The sequence below is a fragment of the Homo sapiens genome, chromosome 17 (genome assembly GCF_000001405.40).
Source record: "Homo sapiens chromosome 17, GRCh38.p14 Primary Assembly".
Classification (NCBI taxonomy): domain Eukaryota; kingdom Metazoa; phylum Chordata; class Mammalia; order Primates; family Hominidae; genus Homo; species Homo sapiens.
This window is the reverse complement of record NC_000017.11, coordinates 20,646,098-20,667,068: the sequence shown is the minus strand read 5'-3', so window position 1 is coordinate 20,667,068 and position 20,971 is coordinate 20,646,098. Positions and strand designations below refer to the sequence as shown.

Here is a 20,971-nt window from a genome sequence, read left to right as displayed (position 1 = left end):
TAAGAAAATGGCAAATAGTAGTGACCTGAATTTAATGGCTATGAGAGGCAGAAAAGAAATGAGGCAAGGCAGGAACTGGAGAGGAGGAAGAGGTAGAGAGGAAGAGGCTGCTTTTGTGTTACTCATGAGTCAGGCTCTCCATGAGTGCCTCCCCGGAGCCTGGGCCAGGCTCCTGCCTGCAGCCGCTCCATGTGGTAGTACCTGGAAAGTGCCCTTGTGGTTGTAACAACGTGGGGCCAGGGTACAGTCAAGAAACGTTTGATATGTCGGGCCAAAGTTTGAATTTGGAACTTTGCTTATAGAAAAAAATGATTAAATACCAGGGCATCCCAAGTCAAATGACTTGATGAGTGACTTATGGTGGTCATGGGCTCTGAGGGCGTTGGAGATGTTCTGTTAACACACACACCAGGCCACTGGCCAGCAGCATCGACCTTGGGGGACTCTGGCTCTTCATCCACAGGTCTGCACAGCAAAGGTCAAATCAAACTGAAAAGGTGGAGGACGTCCCCATGGGAGAAAAAGACACAGAGGAAAACAGAGCTGATGTGGAGAAAATAAACAAAGCTGGAAGGGAAATTCTAAATTTAACATCCTATCTTCTCTACCAGCTTTGCATCAGGAAATAATGTAGGCATTGCTCTTGATTTTTTAAAAAGCTGTTTCTTGAGAAACGGTCAAAAATGATATTTTTATATGTAGAATGACTTGACATTAGCTCTAATTAAGAAGCCTGTATGCTGCAAATTGTGAAAAAATGCAAATGTTACTGATCATAAACATTTTGCTTATTGTCAATGGTGAATGCAGTGGATTGGCTTGTTGGCAAATGCTCCAAACCCCAGGTGGCACACAGAGGCTGGAAAGATGAAATCTCAGAGCTCTCCTGCAGCTGGGATTTTGGGCGTGATTTAAGTTCCATCATCAGAAAGACTTGAGCGAGACCCGGAGTGGCACCTGAGTCAGGGGGAGAGAGGCAGGGCACAGGGCATTCACTATGTGCACAGAGACTGTAGCAGAGACAAGATGCTTCTGGTGCTGGTAACTGTGGTGGCAGCTTTCCAACTGGGTGGGCAGCTTTCTGAAGTTAAGGCTCCTGTCCTGGTGGAGGGAGCAGGTTCCCTGGTGGTCCAATTCTGTGTGGAGACTTTGGGAGCTGCTCCTGGAAGCTCAGCCCTCCCAACAATTCTGCAAGCCATTTAACGCTTTTCCGTCTAAGCCAACGAGAGTGCAATCCATTATACACAACAGAATCCTGACTCAGACATTCTGTCTTCTAAGCCTAAGAGTCGTAACACAACTCTAAAATAACACTGCAATTCTGCATGAGCTGAAGCTCCTGCTCTCACCCAAATTCCCTGGTGTGTTCTTTGTGAGGTTTCTAAGTGTAAGCACAGACTCATAGAAAGTCTTTTATGATAGATCATTGACCCAATCCTCAATCCTCTCATGTATGGCTCCCTTATCTAGGGGACTTTGGCATGTCATGTGATCTCCCTGTGAATGAGCCAAGACAAGGACTCCCAGCCTTCTGACTGCTAAATCATTGCTCTCTTCATTACATCATATTGTCACAGCTGTTTTGCAAGATGACTAATTTATGAGAATAGTTCAAACAACGTATCTGGAAGTAGATTTTTAAAAAGGTCAGTGGAAGTTTAAAATATTTATTTACTGATTGTTTTGAAGTTAATCTAGCTACTCATAAGCTTCTGTGGTTAAATTTACGGTGTACTTAATTCTCTAAGCTTTCCTCTGTTGCTCTGTAAACATGAATAGAATACATTTCACAGAAACAGAACTTAAAACAGTTAACCCACACTGTCTTACACTCTTGACTTCACAGCCCCTGCTTCTGAGTGGAAAAAAAAATCAGTGAACTGAAAACTTCATTGGAAGAAACCATTAGGAACTTAACAAATTGTAAGGGGTTGGGCTTTTAAATAATTTTTAAAGGTTTACTGACAGGAACTGGTTTTCACATTTTCCCCTTTATGTTACACAGAATAAAATCAGGTTGACAAATATGCAGAAACAGAATGAAATCAGGTTAGGTCTGAGGAGAAAAAAATCTCTGTCTGTGCCAGCCATTCTCAGGAAGGTCATCAAGACACAAAATGGGCCACCTTCTTATCAGTCCATTTAAATGACTTGGTCCCAAAGGCCTCCAAGGACAATCATTTTAAATAACTCATGTTCATTTTCTTCTTTGATAATTTAATAAGAACAAAATAGAGAAGCCTACATTCTGCTGAGGTATTCCTTTCAGTTATCTAAGTTTCTCTGCAATTCAAAATATTGAATGATATATAGACTCATTCAGAGTGTATAAGAAAAAAGCAAGGCCACAAAAATTAATTTCCAGTACCCCTGTCTTTGGGCATCCTAAAATGTTATTTCTAATGCTCAGTCTGCTTGGCTAGAACAATACGAGTCAGTATGAGAAAGCCCTGCATCATTTAAGCAGATTAGAGAAATACTCACTAAATACTCACCATGTTATATAATAGCAATTGTGTGTGTGTGTGTGTGTGTGTGTGTGTGTGTGTGTGTGTGTGTGTGTATGTGTATGTGTAGGTGTATGTGTGTAGGAGGCATTCACAAAACAAAGCCTGAACTGAATAACCAAAGAAAATTGTTATTAAGAATGCTATTGGTGGCTGGGCATGGTGGCTCATGTCTGTAATCCCAGCACTTTGGGAGGCCGAGGCGGGTGGATCACTTGAGGTCAGGAATTCGAGACCAGCCTGACCAACAGAATAAAACCCCGTCTCTACTAAAAATACAAAAATTAGCCCGGTGTGAGTGGTGGCACACATCTGTAATCCCAGCTACCTGGAAAGCTGAAGCAGGAGAATCACGTGAACCCGGAAGGCAGAGGTTGCAGTGAGTGGAGATTACTCCCACTCCAGCCTGGGTGACTGAGCGAGACTGTCTCAAAATAAAAAATAAAAATAAAAATAAAAAAAGAATACTATTAGTGTCCAGGCCTGGTGGCTCACACCTGTAATCCCAGCACTTTGGGAGGCCGAGGTGGATCACTCAGGCTGGAGTGTAGTGGCAACACCTTGGCTCACTGCAGCCTCAATCTCCCAGGCTCAAGTGATTCTCCCACTTCAGCCTCCAGAGTAGCTGGGACTAGAGATGTGCACCACCACACTTGGCTAATTTTCTTTTTTTTTTTTTATAAGAGATGAGTTTTCGCCACATTGTCCAGGATGTTCTTGAACTCCTGGACTCAAGCGATACATCTGCCTCAGCTTCCCAAAGTGCTGGGATTACATGCATGAGCCACTGAGTTTGGCTCTTTCTGTAGTTACATCACTGATGAAATAGTTGCTTTGTGTTTAGGGGCTACATTTAACACAACAAAATGAAGCATGTGTTCTGCTTGTCCCCAGCATATAAAACTATGTTAATAACAGAAAATTTCACTGAAACAAATATACATACATAATATGGTTTGGTTCTGTGTCCCCACCCAAATCTCATGTTGAATTGTAATTCCCATTGTTGGAGGTGGGGCCCAGTGAGAGGTGATTGGCTCATGGGGGCAGTTTCTAACGGTTTAGCACCGTCCTCCTAGTGTTGTCTTGCGGTAAGAGTTCTCAAGGGATCTGGTTGTTTGAAAGTATGTAGCACCTCCTGTTTCATTCACTCTCTCTCCTGCCAGCCATGTGAATATGTACCTGCATCCCCTTCACCTTCCACCATGATTGTAAGTTTCCTGATGCCTCCCCAGCCATGCTTCCTGTGTGACCTGTAGAACTGTGAGTCAATTAAACCTTTTTTTTTTTTTTTTTTTGAGATGGAGTCTTGGCTCTGTTGCCCAGGCTGGGGTGCAATGGAGTGATCTCGGCTCACTGCAAGCTCTGCCTCCTGGGTTCATGCCATTCTCCTGCCTCAGCCTCCTGAGTAGCTGGGACTACAGGCACCCGCCACCATGCCCGGCTAATATTTTTGTATTTTTAGCAGAGACGGAGTTTCACCGTGTTAGCCACGATGATCTCGATCTCCTGACCTTGTGATCTGCCTGCCTCAGCCTCCCAAAGTGCTGGAATTACAAGTGTGAGTCACTGTGCCTGGCAATTAAACCTTTTTTCTTTATAAAATACCCAGTCTCAGGTAATTCAATTTTTTTTTTTTTTTTTTGAGACTAAGTCTTGCTCTGTCTCCCAGGCTGGAATACAGTGAGGCAATCTCAGCTCACTGCAACCTCTGCCTCCCAGATTCCAGCGATTCTCCTGCCTCAGCCTCCCAAGTAGCTGGGATTACAGGTGCATGCCATCATGCCTGGCTAATTTTTGTATGTTTAGTAGAGATGGGGTTTTGTCATGTTTGCCAGGCTGGTCTTGAATTCCTGACATCAAGTGACTCTCCTGCCTTGGCCTCCCAAAGTGCTGGAATTACAGGCATGAGCCACTGTGCCCAGCCTCAAAGTAGTTCTTTATAGCAAAGTGAGAACAAACTAATACAGTATAACTCCACTGTATATGACAGGCACAGTACCATGTGTCTTAAAAATGTTATCTAATTTAATTTTCCACAAAACCTCCACACATTATCTCTTATTTTAGAGGAAAATTTGATGATGGTCACATGGTTCATGAATGGTAAATCTGGGATGCAAATCCAGCTCTGGCCAGGCCTTTCTCAAATTTTCTGTTGTGCACAAGTGTTCTATGAGAGGTATACAAGGTTCCAAAAATAATGCTGATGGTATTTCTTCTTAAAATATAATAATATTTAAGAAAAAACATTCCCAATATTTCTTTCAACATTCCTATTTTTGTACAATAATCTGTTCTTACAAGGTGGCAACCCATACCTGTGAATAACATTTGGAGGCCAGACTTTCTGATGGTGTGTCACACACAGCAGGTGACACGCACGCACCCTATAAGCAGGCAGCGTCTCCACAGAGCACAACAAGATGCACGGCCCTCCTCACTGAACGTTGGTCTGCCTTCTACGTCTTACCTTGTCATTTAAGACCACATACATATATGTCTGTAATTATTTCCCTTTGAAACTTTTATTTAACCTCTCTAAATTTGTTGCTTTCTTTGTTATATTAGGGAACAGAGTCTTCAACTGCCAGTGATTGTCTATAGCTTTTACTTCCTCAAGACACCACTTTATGTTGTTTATTCTGATCCAGGCACAGGTGAGCTCCTATACAAGATTTTTTTTTTAATGTTTAGTAGAAACAGGGTTTTGCCATGTTGGCCAGGCTGGTCTTGAACTCATCACATTAAGTGATTCATCCACCTTGGCCTCCCAAAATGCTGGGATTACAGGCGTGAGCCACCATGCCCAGCCCATGATGATTTTTTAAGTATTCAAGGGTAACTCCATTTGGGAAGCGTTGCATGGCACCACTGCTACCTTCACAACTGGCAGATTAATATTTGTGAAGAGGGCAGGTTGTGCCAACCACATGCTCATGCCTGCTGGGATCTTTCCTGAACACCTGGATGAAGCCCAGCCCCAGGCCTTTCGATTGATCTCCCATGAGTCCCCTCTACCCGTCTAGTTTTTGGACTATACACCCAGCCACCTGAAGTTTTTTTTCTTTTATGTCCTGCCTCTGTGCCTTTGCTCATTCTATGCCCTTGCCTGGAGCGTAATTTTCTCTAAATACTTCTTATTGTTTTACACAAAACAAATCTAAGAGAAGTTTGTCCCTCTATTGTGAGACAGAAATTATGAAGTACTCTCTCTCCAGATGTCAAAACAGTATCTTCTGAATTTCACTTTCAAATTTCAATATAAGCATATTCAACAATAAAATCAAACAGGATAAGATGGCAATTTGAACATAAGCATCTTCATCTACAAATCTGAACAAAAAGAATCAAAGAAACAGTAAAAATCTTGTAGTCAGGTATCATCTACAAGCCTACACTTTGAAGAATTTCTGCTAATAGAGAGTATGTGGTGGGGGGGAAATTAAAATAAAATACCAAGAGCTTTCCTCCAAATCCCTTCCAAAGAAAATGGAGATAAGGGAAACCCTCCACTAATGTCCCCCACCCTAGAAGGCCAGGGCTGGTGAGGAGCACGAGAAGCCCAGAGAGATGCAGGGCATTCTGGCAAAGGATCAGGAACAAGAGGAATTTACATCTGAGGAGGCCAAGGTTGGTTTACCCCAGACACAAAGGACAGTAGTGACAAGGGACAGGGCAGGAAAAGCCATGGCGTGCATCTAAAATGGACGAGGGGCATGCAAATGTAGACCCAGAGAGTTGGCTCTGTATTCCAGGCTCACCAAGCAGAGAACAAACTGGGCACAGGTGAATTTCCCCGTTAGGCACTCACCCTTTTCTACTCTACCTGAGCTTCTGTACCTTTCAATATGTAATATATATGCACCTTCAAGAGCCTTCCAACGCATTTCAGTCATAAGATCCTAAGCACTGTCAGGTAAAGGCAGTGGAACTGAGCAGGATCCAGACACTGACCTGGGCCAAACGTCAGGCCCTGCCACACCTGGATCTGCTTCAGCAAGAGAAGGTGATGAACAAAATAATGCCCTGCTTGATGCAAATATTTCTTTTTTAAATTATTATTATTATTATTTTTTGTGATACAGTCTAACTCTGTAGCCCAGGCTGGAGTGCAGTGGCACAATCTCAGCTCACTGCAACCTCCACCTGGGTTCAAGAGATTCTCCAGCCTCAGCCTCCCAAGTAGCTGGGATTACAGGCACGTGCCACTACGCCCAGGTAATTTTTGTATTTTTTTAAGTAGAGACGGGGTTTCGCCATTTTGGCCAGGCTGGTCTCGAACTCCTGACCTCAGGTGATTCACCCACCTAGGCCTCCCAGAGTGCTGGGATTACAGGCATAAGCCACGACGCCCAGCCGATGCAAATATTTCATAATACAAAGTGAAGGGGAAACTGCACTCAAGAGAGGACCAACATTTGTAAATTCATGACCAGAAACAATTTGACACTGATAGTATCTACCTTAAAATTCAATAAAATAAGAAGACATAAATTAAAGATGACAATTTAAAATGAAAGGTGAGTTAAAAATAATATAAGCAATCTAATAACTCATTAATATTTTAAAGCAGAACTAACTCAAAAGAAAAAGAAATGGGGGCATACTTAGGGCAGTTCTCTCCGAATGCAGATGAAATGAATCATGTAAAGGTGGGATTTCAATTCAGTGGACAAAGGATGGTTCTGGTAATAGTGCTGGCATGACCAGCTATCTAACTGGGAGAGAAAGACGCACAGCTCACATCAGATTAAATAAAGAAAGGTGGATCAAACGCCTGCGTGTGTGTGTGTGTGTGTGTATCTGTGTGTGTGTCTGTGTGTGCACGTGCATAAAACAGAGAATGAAACTTAATAGTTTATTTGTAACAAATAAGATTGGAGAGGGAAAACCTTCAAACAAACAAAAAGAAATAACAAAAGAAAACACTAAGTTAACATTATATAAAAATATAAACTTTTCTATGATACGGATGTTAAAGCCAAAGGCCTGTAGTGCACTGGGGATAAAAACACATCTTTGGGCAAGCACAGTGATTCACAATTATAATTCCAGTGATTTGGGAGACTAAGGTGGGAGGATCACTCAAGCCCAGGAGTTGAAGACCAGCCTCGGCAATAAAGTGACATCCCAGCTGGACAAAAATTCGAATTAGGAAGGCATGGTGGTGTTCGCCTGTCGTCCCCGCTATTTGGGAGGCTGAGTAGGAGGATCATTTGCGCCTGGGAGGTCAAGGCTTCAGTGAGCTGTGATCGTGCCACTGCACTCCAGCCTGGGTGACAAAGCAAGACCCTGTCTCAAAACAACAACAACAAAAAACAACCCCCCCAAAACAAAACGAAACAAAAAAACCCCGACATCCCTAATAAAATACTGACTTATAAACTGATGAGAAAGAAACAATCAGCTCAGTGAAATAATAGGCAAAAGTGCTAAACTAGCAACTCTAGAAGAGAAAGTGCAATTGGTTAGTACACATAAAAATATGCTCAGAGATATACAAATTAAAATCTAATAAGATAGTATTTTTCACTTATCCTATTGGCAAAAATAAGATCAACACTTTCTGTGGCTGCTCAGACTATGCAGAGATGGGCACGTTCATCAAGAGTGAAATGTCGGCCAGGTGCGGTGGCTCACGCCTGTAATCCCAGCACTTTGGGAGGCCAAGGCAGGCCGATCACGAGGTCAGGAGATCGAGACCATCCTGGCTAACACGGTGAAACCCCGTCTCTACTAAAAAATACAAAAAATTAGCCGGGCGTGGTGGCGGGCGCCTGTAGTTCCAGCTACTCCGGAGGCTGAGGCAGGAGAATGGTGTGGACCCGGGAGGCGGAGCTTGCAGTAAGCCAAGATCGTGCCACTGCACTCCAGCCTGGGCGACAGAGCGAGACTCCATCTCAAAAAAACAAACAAAAAAAAGAAAGTGAAATGTCACAGCAGTCAGGTGAGTAACCTGGAGACATCTATTAAGATAAAAATGTGTATATTCTCTAGAGCAGCAGTCATAGTTTTAGAAATTCATGCTATAAAAATAAAATCACAACTATATAGGACTATATGAATAAGGACTCGTATTATAGCATTATTCGTAACAAAGAAAACTATAACCTTGCTGGCATTAGTAAGACAATATTTGAATATTCCAGGGCACATCCCTCCTGTGGAAGGCCATGCAGCTCTTAAAATGAGTTCTCTTTGTATGTATTGACCTGGAAGGATGCCCATGTTACATGAAATAAAAAGTGAAGGTGCAGCATACTGTGTAGAACATAGTCCTGTTTATATTTAAACATATATAAATGAAGCCTATACATTTTATGATTAACAAAAAATATACACACTGTTACCAGTGATTTCCTTGCAGGGTGAGTACTGAAGGAGGAGAAAGATTAGTATTTTTCTTGACACATCTCCATTTTGCTACCAGTATACCTAAATATTACTTCATAATTAGGAGAAAATCCAATACATTAATTCACCAATCTATTCATTTTTAAATTTCAACAAGAAACATCTAGACTAAAAAGTCCATACTATATTTTCTGAGATTCTACAGTTTTGCTTAAAAATTAATTTATGCAAAACTAGTGTTTTTGCTCCACGTCCTCTTGTTCTAATAATAAAATCATTCATATCCCAGCTCAACCTTCTATCTACAACTTATATTTAAAGTCCAGCTTGTTTCTCCTTCAAATTCTATTATTTGAGGAGGCTTTGAAGTTCTGAAACTATATTCATGAAAAAATGTAGAACAAAATGACATAAAGGCCCTGCAGAAACATAGCTGGTGATTAAAACTCAAGCAGCAGGCCGGGCGCGGTGGCTCACGCCTGTAATCCCAGCACTCTGGGAGGCCGAGGTGGACAGATCACAAGGTCAGGAGATCCAGACCATCCTGACCAACACGGTGAAACTCCGTCTCTACTAAAAATATAAAAAATTAGCTGGGTGTGGTGGCCAGCACCTGTAGTCCCAGCTACTCAGGAGGCTGAGGCAAGAGAATGGCGTGAACCCGGGAGATGGAGGTTAGTGAGCTGAGACTGCGCCACTGCACTCCAGCCTGGGCGATAGAGCGAGACTCCGTCTCAAAAAAAAAAAAAAAACCTTAAGCAGCAGACGAGCTTCTGTATAACAACATTATTTAGCATTTTACAAATGCTTACAGATAAAAATACTCAGCAGTACCTGGAGTAAAGATAGGACAAAATGTGGGCTGCAAATACAGTGGTGCCTTTTAAGTTGAGGTTGCAGTTTTCTTACTGTTTATATTTAAAAACATCCAGCAAATGAGTTTTAAATCATCCCAACAACTCTGAATACGAGATAAAGAGCTCCCAGAATCTACAGTCCTACTCGCAAGTATTTATTTTTACACAGAAGATATCAATGTCTCTTCTTTCTCACACCAAGCTAATGTTTCTAGTGATTCTGTGCTGTCTGGTTTGACACCCCAAAACATCTTCCTGAGTTTAAAGAGCACTCCTGTTCCTAATTTTCCTTTTATTAGACAGTAACTCTTGCCTTGTCTCATCCTTTGGATAAAATAGATACTAGCTTTCCTTTGGATAGCTAATAGCTCCATGCTGAGAACTGCAGGAGGTTTCTGCCTGATGGAGGTTGCTGAAATGGATTTGGATCTTCACAAACACAGGTATTCCCGGAAGTTTAAAATCACATTTCTGGAAGTTTAAAATCCACATAAAATTGTGGATCGCTCTGAGTTGAACACTAAGTTTCCAGGCTGAGTTTCATCCATGAGGCTTTTGGTGTAGTTGTCATTCAACCGTTTTCCATTAGATTTCTATTGCCACTGTCACCATGCTTACCTATCTGGCTTAACAGCATCCTTTATGATCAACTGCTGAGACCAGCTTGGTTGGGAGACCCTAACCCAGTGGCACTAGAGGAATTAAAGACACACACACAGCAACATAGAGGTGTGGAGTGGGAAATCAGGGGTCTCAAGCCTTCAGAGCTGAGAGCCTCAAACAGAGATTTACCCACATATTTACTGACAGCAAGCCAGTGATAAGCATTGTTTCTATATAGATTAACTAAGACTATTCCTTACGGGAAACAAAGGGATGTGCCGAAATAAAGGGATGGGCTCTGGCTAGTTATCAGCAGCAGGAGCATGCTCTCCTTAAACAGATCGATCATGCTATTGTTTGTGGTTTAAGAACGCCTTTAAGCGGTTTTCTGCCCTGGGTGGGCCAGGTGTTCCTTGTCCTCATTCCGGTAAACCCACAACCTTCAGCGTGGGCGTCATGGCCATCACAAACATGTCACAGTGCTGCAGAGATTTTGTTTATGGCCAGTTTGGGGGCCAGTTTATGGCCAGATTTTGGGGGCCTATTCCCAACAATGAACGAAACATCTACTTGCGTTTAGCCCAGCAAGATTCTGGAAATCAAACCAAAGCTTAGTGGTACTTAGTTTCAGATGAGGTAATGAAGTCAGACCCTGTGTGAAGAGGCACAATCAAGACCCCACAGAAGGAAGCCAAACTTTTTGACTTCTTCGGAATAAGCATTACTCAGATCTGCTCTGCCACTGTGCCTTCTCAACATTCCAGCTGCAAATAACTCTTCTTCATGAGACCTGTACTTTCTTTTTTCAGTACAACTTCATTTTATTCTCCAAATAAAAGACTGCTGAAGCTTCTGAGAAAAAGAAAAAAGAGTGAAGGATCATCTTTGATCATGCAGTGAGCTGATTCCAAAATGTGGACAAAAAGCAGACTCAAAGGCAATGGTTCCGAGAAACAGTGAATGTCACAAGGAGACACCTGGGCTCTTTATAAAGAGGTAATTTCTCTTCTACACATTCCCCCTTTCATACAGAGATGGCTGTGGATCCCAATCATGGGAAGAGCTGGGCTGTCTTTCTTCCACCAAATGCTCTGCTAGCTGACAGAGCCCACTGAGAGGTGAAAATAGAAATGGGGAGGGAGAGGCTGTAAAGGAGTTACCCTAAGGCAACACGGTCTTAGTTCACAAACGCAAGAATTTCCAGCTTACACTGCCCTACGGGGACAAGCTAATGTCCAGGACAGGCCAATGGGTTTTAATTCCTACTGTTCCAATTTTTTGGAAGCCAAAGGTTTTCGGACATAAAAAAATGTCAGACTACAAATGCCTGTACTAGGCTCCTCCACCAGAACTTCTCCAACAAAGAACTGTGTGGTGAAGCAGAGATGCCCATGATGAACACCACAGGCCCCTCCAGAATTTACAGAGAGGCTTGTGCTTCCCCTCTACTGTCAAGGCCAAAAAACTTTTTTTCTTTCATAATTTCAACCTAAAAATCCTAAAGGCCTAAGAGAAGCTTATGTCCACACCGTTCAAATCTGTAAAGATGCGGATTAGGGAATAGGGAGGCAGACACAGCTATTTAGAATTATAGACTGTGTATGTCATAAATCTAAACTATAAAAAAAAAGTACTATGTGAGTCAACAGATAAGGCTGGCTAGAGTAAGAGGATATGAGAGGACCAGGTTCTACATTAAGGGCCAAATTAAATGCCAGAAGCCCCTGTTCGTCATGGGTGCTAAGGTGAAGTCTGTTCAGAAACTGTTTAGGAATCCTTAGCGGAATGGGCCCCCTCCACCTGGGACAGGGGCTCGGTACCAGAGCATCTGCAGCAAGAGAGCTTGAAAAGGGACCTTAGGGACCCAAGAATCTATACCTCCAACTTCTGCCCTTCCCCTCTCCGCAGCAGCTGGAGAACATGTGCTAAGCGGCTGTGACCCATTAGAGCCATCAGAGCAACACAGAGGGCAGTGCGGGCACATGCAGCGACGCTCGGGCTGACACTGATGTGCACACACGGAGTTAAGCCAATTCCAGCGGAGTCTGCACATGCTGTGCTGCCACAGTGCTCACCTCCGAGAGGGGACAACCCAAGAACTGGTGGTGCAGGCAAAACACATTCGAATCACAGACATTCTATTTAGATACCAATAGCATTAATTAGGCACAGATGTTAAGTGTGTTTAATGATCTCTTTTAAAGATGTTTTCCTTCCATGGATGTTTACTGGTGTTATATAAACACTGTAAGAATTAGGTAAGTCACCCTGAAATAACAGCATTTACTGTTTCAGAACAAGAGAAATAAACAAACACAGTAAATGCAGAGGTCTTTCCCCGCTGCTGTTAGAGAAGCCTTGTGTCATGCACTGCTCATCAACAATGGGGAAACCACTGTGTCAAAGAGGTTCAAAGGATTGCATCAGAAAGATGCTAAGGCTGGCACAGGAATTTCTGACTCTCCCACCAGGGAAAGGTCAGCTGACCAACCAGTCCAGAGAATAGCAGAGCTTAAACGGACCTTGAAAACTACTCACTTTTCCCACCTCTTTTAACAGAGGCAGGAGACGGGGCTGGGAACGAGATATTGCTAGTTGGCTGCAAACATGAGGCTGAGAATGAGATACTGCTGGTTGGCTGCAAAGACGAGGCTACCACCTTCCTTCCCCATATACCTTAACATCAGTTATTCTAACTCTGAAATAAAAATATTTTTGAAGTGTAACAGGGCTGAAGATCATTGATGAGTTAGATAATATCCCACTGTGTAGTCACTGAGTTCCGGTAATAAATGCTGATTTGCATTCCTGCCTGGGCGCTTCATCTCATGCCTATCAGCCTGGCTGCAACCATCCCTGTGAGTGCCCACGGGGGCAAACAGTTTAAGAATCAGGTAATCCCGTGTCAGGATCCAGGTGCTTTTTGGGTGTTCTTACCTTCTCTCAGTTGTACTTGAAGATCTCATCAGAGAATGTTCTGCAAGTTCTTTTGCTGTGGCTGAACCAAGGATGACTTTTGAGTTCTCATTAGATGACTGCCAAAGTCAAATTGAGTTTCAATCAAGAACTCATTCAGCCAAGACGGAAACACTGGCTGGCTTCGGGAGCTTGGAGGGTGTGAGTTGGTTCTAGTTCTTGCTCATGGGGTAGGTTCCAGGAGTGACCGAGCCATGAGCGAGTAATTACCCAATAGTCAACTCTTCAGAGGTGACAGCTTGCCAGAGAAGTGCAAAATCAGACAAGAAACCATCACTGGCACTTGTCTGACTTCCTGCCAAACACAATGGCAGGCAAAATCATCATGATGCCTGATTTCAGTACCATGACACGTTCTCATTGGTGTCAGTTCCAAAATTTGAAATGTTTTGTGGTAAGGGATTAAACTGCTATATTGAGAAAGTAATGTTGCAAATCACCGGAAAATCAAAAAAGAAAATTCTGTGTTTAAAAAAACAATGACGTTAAGACTGAAGATGCAGGATGCAGCATAGGGAGTCCTAAACTGCCAGGATGCATGCGGAGATTTCCTAGAATACCAGGGTTCACACTGCATGGTATGGCCTGTGTCTCACAGTATACATAAGAAATGAAGCAGCTCATACAAGAACCTGGTTATTCAGGGCTACCATGGAAACTTAGGACTTACCTTTTACCATTTATCATTAAAATAGCGTCCATGTGAAGCAACACAAGTTCTGACTGGGATCTTCTTCCAATGACAGACAATAGGGAAGCAAGACAGAGGCAAACAAACAACAGCAGACACAGAGGCCACCCTGAATGGCCTCACTGCTGTTTCAACAGGGAACACTGCAAAATCTAGTTTTCCTAAAATCCACATCCTTTGGTGGCCAGAGGGTAGAGGTCCGGCTATAAAGTAATGATCTTGTCTGGTGCAACTGTAGTCCCAAATACTCTTAAATGTCACTATTAGCAGAGCTCTCTGGGCTGATAGGCTGTGTGTTTCTTCCCGTCCAGAGCAGAGGGGAATGTCATACATCAGCCAAATGCATGTTTTCCACTCTTTTTAAAATAAAGTGAGTTATGTCAAGGCCTGTTGAAGTAGCCCATGGGTGTTGTCAAATAAGTAGACACATCCCTGGGCCGGGAGGAATGTGTCCTTATTTGGTGGCTCCTCCCCTCAGGAGTGATTCCAGCTTCTCCCACTGCATGGGAGTGACCTGTGCAAGGTGGTGGGCTCGTATTTATCAGTGTGCACTCCCTGCACTAATAAATACTAAGATTCAAGGAGCATCCTAGACAGGACTTCTATTCTTTAAGCCTAGCAGGATACTTGGCTAGAACTCGCCCTTCATATGTAAGTGAGGAGCTTAGCAGCCCCTTATGCTGCTAAGCATGGCAGAAACTGGGCACTGGATGGAATGTTCCTAGTGATGCGGTAGCACTGGTAATGCAGACTGATCCCAGAAAAGAAACAGCAGAGCCTTGCACAGAGAGACATGAAGCGTCTCATCCCCACCAGGGAGCCCCACGCACAGTAATTAAGTGAAAAGCAAGCATGGCCTGGGTGCCCACTAGACTCACGGAGGGGCAGCTCTGCTGGAAACCACCCTGCCGCAGCCCTGCACATCCCCCAGCTCCTTCTGCAGCCAGGCATTCTCCTCCTCCTTCTCCTCCTCCTCCAGCAGTTCAGCAGTTTCCTCTTCACAGTGCCCAGCTCCTGCTGGGCTTCTCACTTGACATTGTTGGCCACTGCCACCGCAGTCTGCAGATCTGGCTGGAACCACCTCCATTCCATGGTCTCCTTCTGAAAATGCCAGAGCCCAACCCTGTGTCAGATGCCTGCCAGGGCTGGTGCCTGAGCAGAGACTCCAGAGCCCCTGTATCAGTCACCAAGAAAGAACAGCCAGCAGTGCTTAGTGAGGCCCTGCTTTCACGGTGTCTTGCTGCTAGGAAAAGGCACTGGTGGAAATTACACCTTCAGGTTATGAGAGCTCTCCATCCTGACAACAAATGACTGCTTTGACTTTACTTCCTGCTGGCAAGAACTTACAGTTTCAGGGCCCATGTCATGAAAATGTTCCAAGATAAAGCAGGATAGAGAGAGTGATCCCGACTTTGGAGGGGTAATTTATAGGAAGATGGTGGTGAAGGCTCCTGCCACATCTCCCCTGTATCTGCTCAGTCAGAGTCTTTAGCTGCCTCCCCAGATCTGACTTCTGTTTCTCCAGCTTGATCACATTACCTAGAAATAGACAATTCAGACAGGCCTTGGAAGAGTTGTGAGACTCTTGAGAGAAGGTAAGTCAGGTAGCAAAGGGGCAGCTCCACATGCCACAGCAGGTGTTCAAATCTACTCTAAATGCATTCTACTCTAAATGCAACTTTTAGCAATTTCAATTTACCCTGCAAAGAGGGGCTGGAAGCAGCAAGTTCCTCCAAAATAGGGAACATGATGATCTGAAAAATACATGGTGCATATTGAGGTTACAGTCTCAGCAGACAGGATGCACAACCAAATAGCAGCACTACGGGAAGAGGCCTCCGTGGCCACACACACTTGCACACCGAGCCCGGCCTCCCTCGCACTCACACGCAATCATCCTGAGTGTCCTTTATTGCTGTGAGATAGAGGCTTTCACATAACAGAGCACATGACTGCTTATTCCTCCTGTGGTTTGTAAAGCACTTTCCAGAGTCGTGGGTCTCAATGGCAGTTAAGCCTCTGAATCATTGGTGAAACTTTTCAAAAGCACCGATGTTCTAGTCCACACTCCAGACACCTGGAGGCAGAATCTCCAAGGGCAGACAGAACCCGAGGATGTGTGCGTTTGACATCTTCCCAGGTGGCTTGCCTGCCTCTCCCTACTTAAGGACACCTGCAGCCCCTTGTTCTCCTTGCCTCCCATTCTCTCCATACGGCTATCAGAGTCATTCGAGTTTAAATCTGATGGTGTCAGTCACCAAGCTGAAATTCCTCAATAGGTCGTCATGCTCTAACCTAGAGCAGTTTTCTATGAAGGCTGTGAATCAGAATCACCAGAGAAGGCTAAAAAGATGCTTGTGGGCAGGTCCTACCCCAGCAGTTCTAGTTCTAGTGGGCCTGGGAGTCTGCGTCTGGGATTATTCTGCTGAGTAGAAAACACCCCCTAATTTCCTTTCATTTTTCAGTCCATTTCTCTCCCATCAGGATCTCATGGGAAGGAGTGATCGGTCTAGGGCTGGATCCGTGTGTCTCGGGGTCTCTGAGCAAAAAGATATCTGAATAATACTTCAAAATCCTTTTAAAAAGTTTAACAGCTTTTCAAAAGATGGCTTGGGTTATTGTCAGTCCTGGATATATGATGATATAACCACAGCGGTGGGCCTAAATTTTGCTGTGGACATTAATTATACGCTGGTTTTCTTGGTGTGTCTGTGCTGACTTTTAAGGATTTAGGGACAATACAACCCCATTCTCAACAGCAAAATATCACAAAAACAAAAACAAAACAGAACAGAACTTGTCTTCTTTGACTTTTCTTCACAATCATGGTGCTGGGTTTGGAAGGATACACTGATGATAATGGTGTCCAGGTTTTCAGCTGTATCCTGAGAACAGCCTGGATGGCACCGACACTGAATGCTGAGGTTCCACAGTTCTACTGCGTGTCATGTTCAAGAAGAAACGAGGCAGGTGCTGTCAACTCTCACTCTAACCAACTAATCAATATCTGGAATACACAGTCAATTCTCAGGTTCGTGCACAGAGTTGCATCTGGCAATATCTCCATAAAACAAGCAAGTCTCATCAGTAGTGGAAACTCATTCTTCCTATTTCCTTCTTCCTAACACTGAGCAAGTATTTTTAAATTTTTCCTCAGTCTCCTGATCTGTACAACCTGCCCTGCCTGCAACGTTAACCATTCTCACACCTTACAGCCTTTTGAAACCTAGGAGCCGACCAGCACTAGCCAAGAAGGATTTAATATTTTCCTGACCTGAGACGATGTGCACGTACGTGTCTTTGGTTTTCAGTCTCACAATAATGTTGCCCACTGCTTTTTAAAATTGGCTGTCTTCTCATGAATCCATAAATTTGGCTGCTTTTCCATCTTTTCCACAGCTGCATCACACTCTACAGATGTCCCTTTAGCATGTCAGGGCAGCTTTACATACATATTGTCGAACTTCCTCTCCCTTTCTCTGATGTACTGTGTTGTCGATTCAGTAACTCAGGCTTAACAGCACAGGAGCTCATGCCTTCAAGAAACTTCCCTAACATACGTGTCTTCTCTGCAGGTCTCTCTCAGCCTCCCTGCGCTTAGGGACAGTGGACAGCACTGCAGCACTGCACTTGGGGCCATTTTAAACAGCGAAGTCACCAAAACCAAGCAAAAGAATGCTAAAAGCACAGTACTAAACAGACCATGGAAAAGATATATGTACAGCATGAGAAGGTAAAGTGTCTGTCTGACCTCAGTGGGGAGCATAAGCACTGGATGACTCAACTTTTTCACTTCTCTGTGCATGTCCAAAAATGACAAAAATGACTCTGTGGAAGTACTCTGTGTGTTGATTTGGGGGTTAAAATACATTTGAGCAGCTGGACGCAGTGGCTCATGCCTGTAATCTCAGCACTTTGGGAGGCCAAGGCGGGTGGATCACCTGAGGTCGGGAGTTCAAGACCAGCCTGACCAACATGGAGAAACTCCATCTCTACTAAAAAAATACAAAATTAGCCGGGCATGGTGGCGCATGCCTGTAATCCCAGCTACTCGGGAGGCTGAGGCAGGATAACCTCCAGTGAGCCAAGATTGCACCATTGCACTCCAGCCTGGGCAACAAGAGCAAAACTCCAACTAAAAAAAAAAAAATTTTTAGCAAGCAGGTGAATTCACAAATGTGCAATCTGTGAATCTGTGAATAAGGAGGATCAACTGCACGGTGTGGGGAACTTCTCAGGCAACTGACCAGGCTATTCTTAGTAATGGCTGGTGTGACCTAAATGCTTTGCCCATTAAACCTTTTCTTTTTTTTTTTTTTTGAGGCAGAGTTTCACTCTGTTTCCCAGGCTAGAGGGCAATGGTGTGATCTCAGCTCACTGCAACCTCCACCTCCTGGGTTCATGCGATTCTCCTGCCTCAGCCTCCTAAGTAGCTGGGATTACAGGCACCCGCCACCTCACCTGGCTAATTTTTGTATTTTTAATAGAGACAAGGTTTCATCATGTTGGCCAAGTTGGTCTCGAACTCTTGACCTCAGGTGATCCATCCACCTCGACCTCCCAAAGTGCTAAGATTACAGGCGTGAGCCACCACACCTGGCCATGTCCATTGTCTTTTGTCACAAAAGCGAAGCACATTAGATGTGATAATTTGATAAAGGTCATTTGGACAAAGCAGGCAACGTTTAATCCCTTTTAAAAATTTCTTTTCCCAAGTCAAAGTAAACAATGAGCTCATAAGCCTCATAATGATGCCTCTTCAGCAACTAAGTGGCCAACATCTGTAAGTTACTTGATATCCTACCATCAATGGCACACATGCAGGAATTGTTTTCTTCTTTAGACCAAGAGCACACATTTTTCATCCACTCTGACACCTATCATCCATCTCTATCAGCTCCAAGAGACAACACAGTGTCAATGCTTGGTGACAACACAGTGTCAATGCTTGGCAAGGTATTTCTTCTGAATAACCCATTCCTACCCCACAGAATGTCCTTAGGAAAAGTCCCTGTGAACTCTCATACAGTCACAGCTGAAGTGTCCCAACTTGTGGCCTCCAAGCCCATCAGGCTGCTTAGAGACAGTGGCAGCAGCATGGCTCACACACAGCACATCTAGCACAGACAAGAAACATTTGTGGCTGGGTACAGTGATTCACATCTGTAATCCCAGTGCTCTGGGAGACTGATTTGGGACAATCGCTTGAGCCCACAAGTTTGAGGCTGTGGTGAGTATGGTCATACCACTGCACTCCAGTCTGGGCAACAGACTGAGACCCTCTCTCTAAAACAACAACAAACAACAAAGCATTTGCTATTTTTCACAGTCACTTATGTTGCTTACTCTTTTCTTCTGTTATCCAGTTTTCAACTTAGTTTAAGAGATTAATGATTGTTTCTTAGGTGACATTCTTCCCAGGAGATTATAGCACACTCAAATGAAAGACTCTTCATAAACCCCAGCCAACACACAGTCAAAAACCTTCCCACAGTCACCCACTGCTGCTGGGTTCTTTAGTGTCCTACTCACTTCCAATCCACATTTCACCTGGGCTTGACCCCACTTATTTTTTAGCTCACTGATAAGTTGAGTACTGTGTAACTTGATAACCCAGTGCTGTTCCACCTGATCTTCCAGTGCAAACATGGTTTCTTTCATGTCTTTGATCTCTGCATCACTCTCTGATGATGCTTCTTGCAGCTTTAGGCTGGTTCTGTTTAGCTGTTCTGCTTGGTGATTATCCATCTCCTTCAGGTATGAATATTCTTTTTCCACTTAAAATAAAAGGAAAGTTCCCTGGTCGGTTTAACAACAAAGTTCCCACAGCGATCAGTCCACTACAAGCCAAAGCCCCATCACGACACAATACACCCATGTAACAAACCTGTACACGAACCCCCTCAATCTAAAATAATACATCACAAAAAGCCCCTGGCAAGTGAGCAGCAGGCTCATGGACACAGTGGCAAAGACGCCTTTGGCATGTGCTGTTTCTTGCATTATTAGCCTCAGAAACAGCCGAGGCCACGAACAGTCAGAGAAACATGATGTATGCTTCCAAATGGCTGGATTCTGTACCCCTTCCTACAAGCGAAAGGGAAATCTGCACGCACTTAAATATTTCTCTTTCCTGCAGCTGGGGGAGCAGTGCTTCCCTGGGAGGCACTGGCCCTGTACCAAGAGGGCTGCCTGGTGTGGCCGCCCCACCGCACATCAGCTATGGGGTGGCGCCCTCTGCGGCTAAGCTGTGAACAACACCCCTGAAGCAAGGCTGATCTTCAATCTCCTTAGCCAAAAGATACTTAGCAGTAAGTTACAATGTTTCTTTAGAGAAATACACTATGAACCTGATAGAGAACCACAGTGGAAGGCACAGAGCACTGAAACATACGCATACCAGAAGCAGAAAAGTGGCACAGTACAGTCCTTCCACCTGTGCAATTTTTGATTGTTAATATTTTAAATATACAGGAAACTACCAAGAATAATGATAAACAGGTACCCAGACTTAACAAGTTAAATTTTGCCACACTTGCAAAATCTTTTTAATCTAGGAAGAATTTTTTAAAGCTTCAATGTACCCTCCCACCTCAGAGAGTAATAAGCATTATCCTAAAATTGCTATGTGGTCATCCCTTGAATGGTTTTTCACTTTTACTATAATGTATGTATCCATGATAATGCCTAGTATTGTTCTGGGTGTTTTGAGTGTTTTACACAATGTTATATATACTATATTGTGCTTTTAGAGTGTCGGGTTTGTAACATGGTAATATGCTCTATCCCTCACCATCTTATGCCTATTATGCCCTTGCACCTTGCTTTTAGCTGTGTTTTCAAAATGTATCCATACTGGTACACATCCTGCTAGGTGGCTACTTTAGTTGCTGCACAGTATTCCACTGTCTTCAGAAGAAACTATCAACAGAGTAAACAGACAACCTATAGAATGGGAGAAAATATACATTGTTAAGGTA

General features: G+C 43.7%; 1 long non-coding RNA gene and 2 pseudogenes across 2 annotated transcripts in view, besides 4 other annotated features; 1 reads left to right on the top strand and 2 right to left on the bottom strand.

The window, feature by feature from the left end:
* Nucleotides 1-20,971, bottom strand: part of LOC100287072 (ribosomal protein S6 kinase B1 pseudogene) — a 107,286-nt pseudogene that overhangs the window by 73,662 nt on the left and 12,653 nt on the right. The gene's annotated exons all lie outside the window — the stretch shown is intronic.
* LOC105371583 (uncharacterized) lies at nt 1,554-17,822 on the top strand. Its single transcript, XR_934317.3, has 3 exons — nt 1,554-1,646; nt 11,134-11,320; nt 17,567-17,822. It is a non-coding gene; the product is annotated as an uncharacterized LOC105371583 (long non-coding RNA).
* Nucleotides 4,536-5,760: a meiotic recombination region, noted in NCBI's record as "meiotic double-strand break mapped by DNA meiotic recombinase 1 chromatin immunoprecipitation followed by single-stranded DNA enrichment and sequencing in the germ cells of some male individuals with PRDM9 AA, PRDM9 AB, and PRDM9 AC genotypes". NCBI's record gives the evidence for it as "EXISTENCE:chromatin immunoprecipitation-seq evidence [ECO:0000229][PMID:25395542]".
* Nucleotides 5,142-5,667: a non allelic homologous recombination region, noted in NCBI's record as "LCR17pD recombination region, recombines with the LCR17pA recombination region". NCBI's record gives the evidence for it as "EXISTENCE:restriction fragment detection evidence [ECO:0001124][PMID:15148657]".
* Nucleotides 5,190-5,322: a mobile genetic element, noted in NCBI's record as "direction; forward".
* Nucleotides 5,268-5,280: a nucleotide motif, noted in NCBI's record as "nucleotide motif; similarity to the predicted 13-mer PRDM9 A binding motif (LD hotspot motif), CCNCCNTNNCCNC".
* Nucleotides 11,054-19,769, bottom strand: LOC729334 (cytospin B pseudogene; annotated as a pseudogene).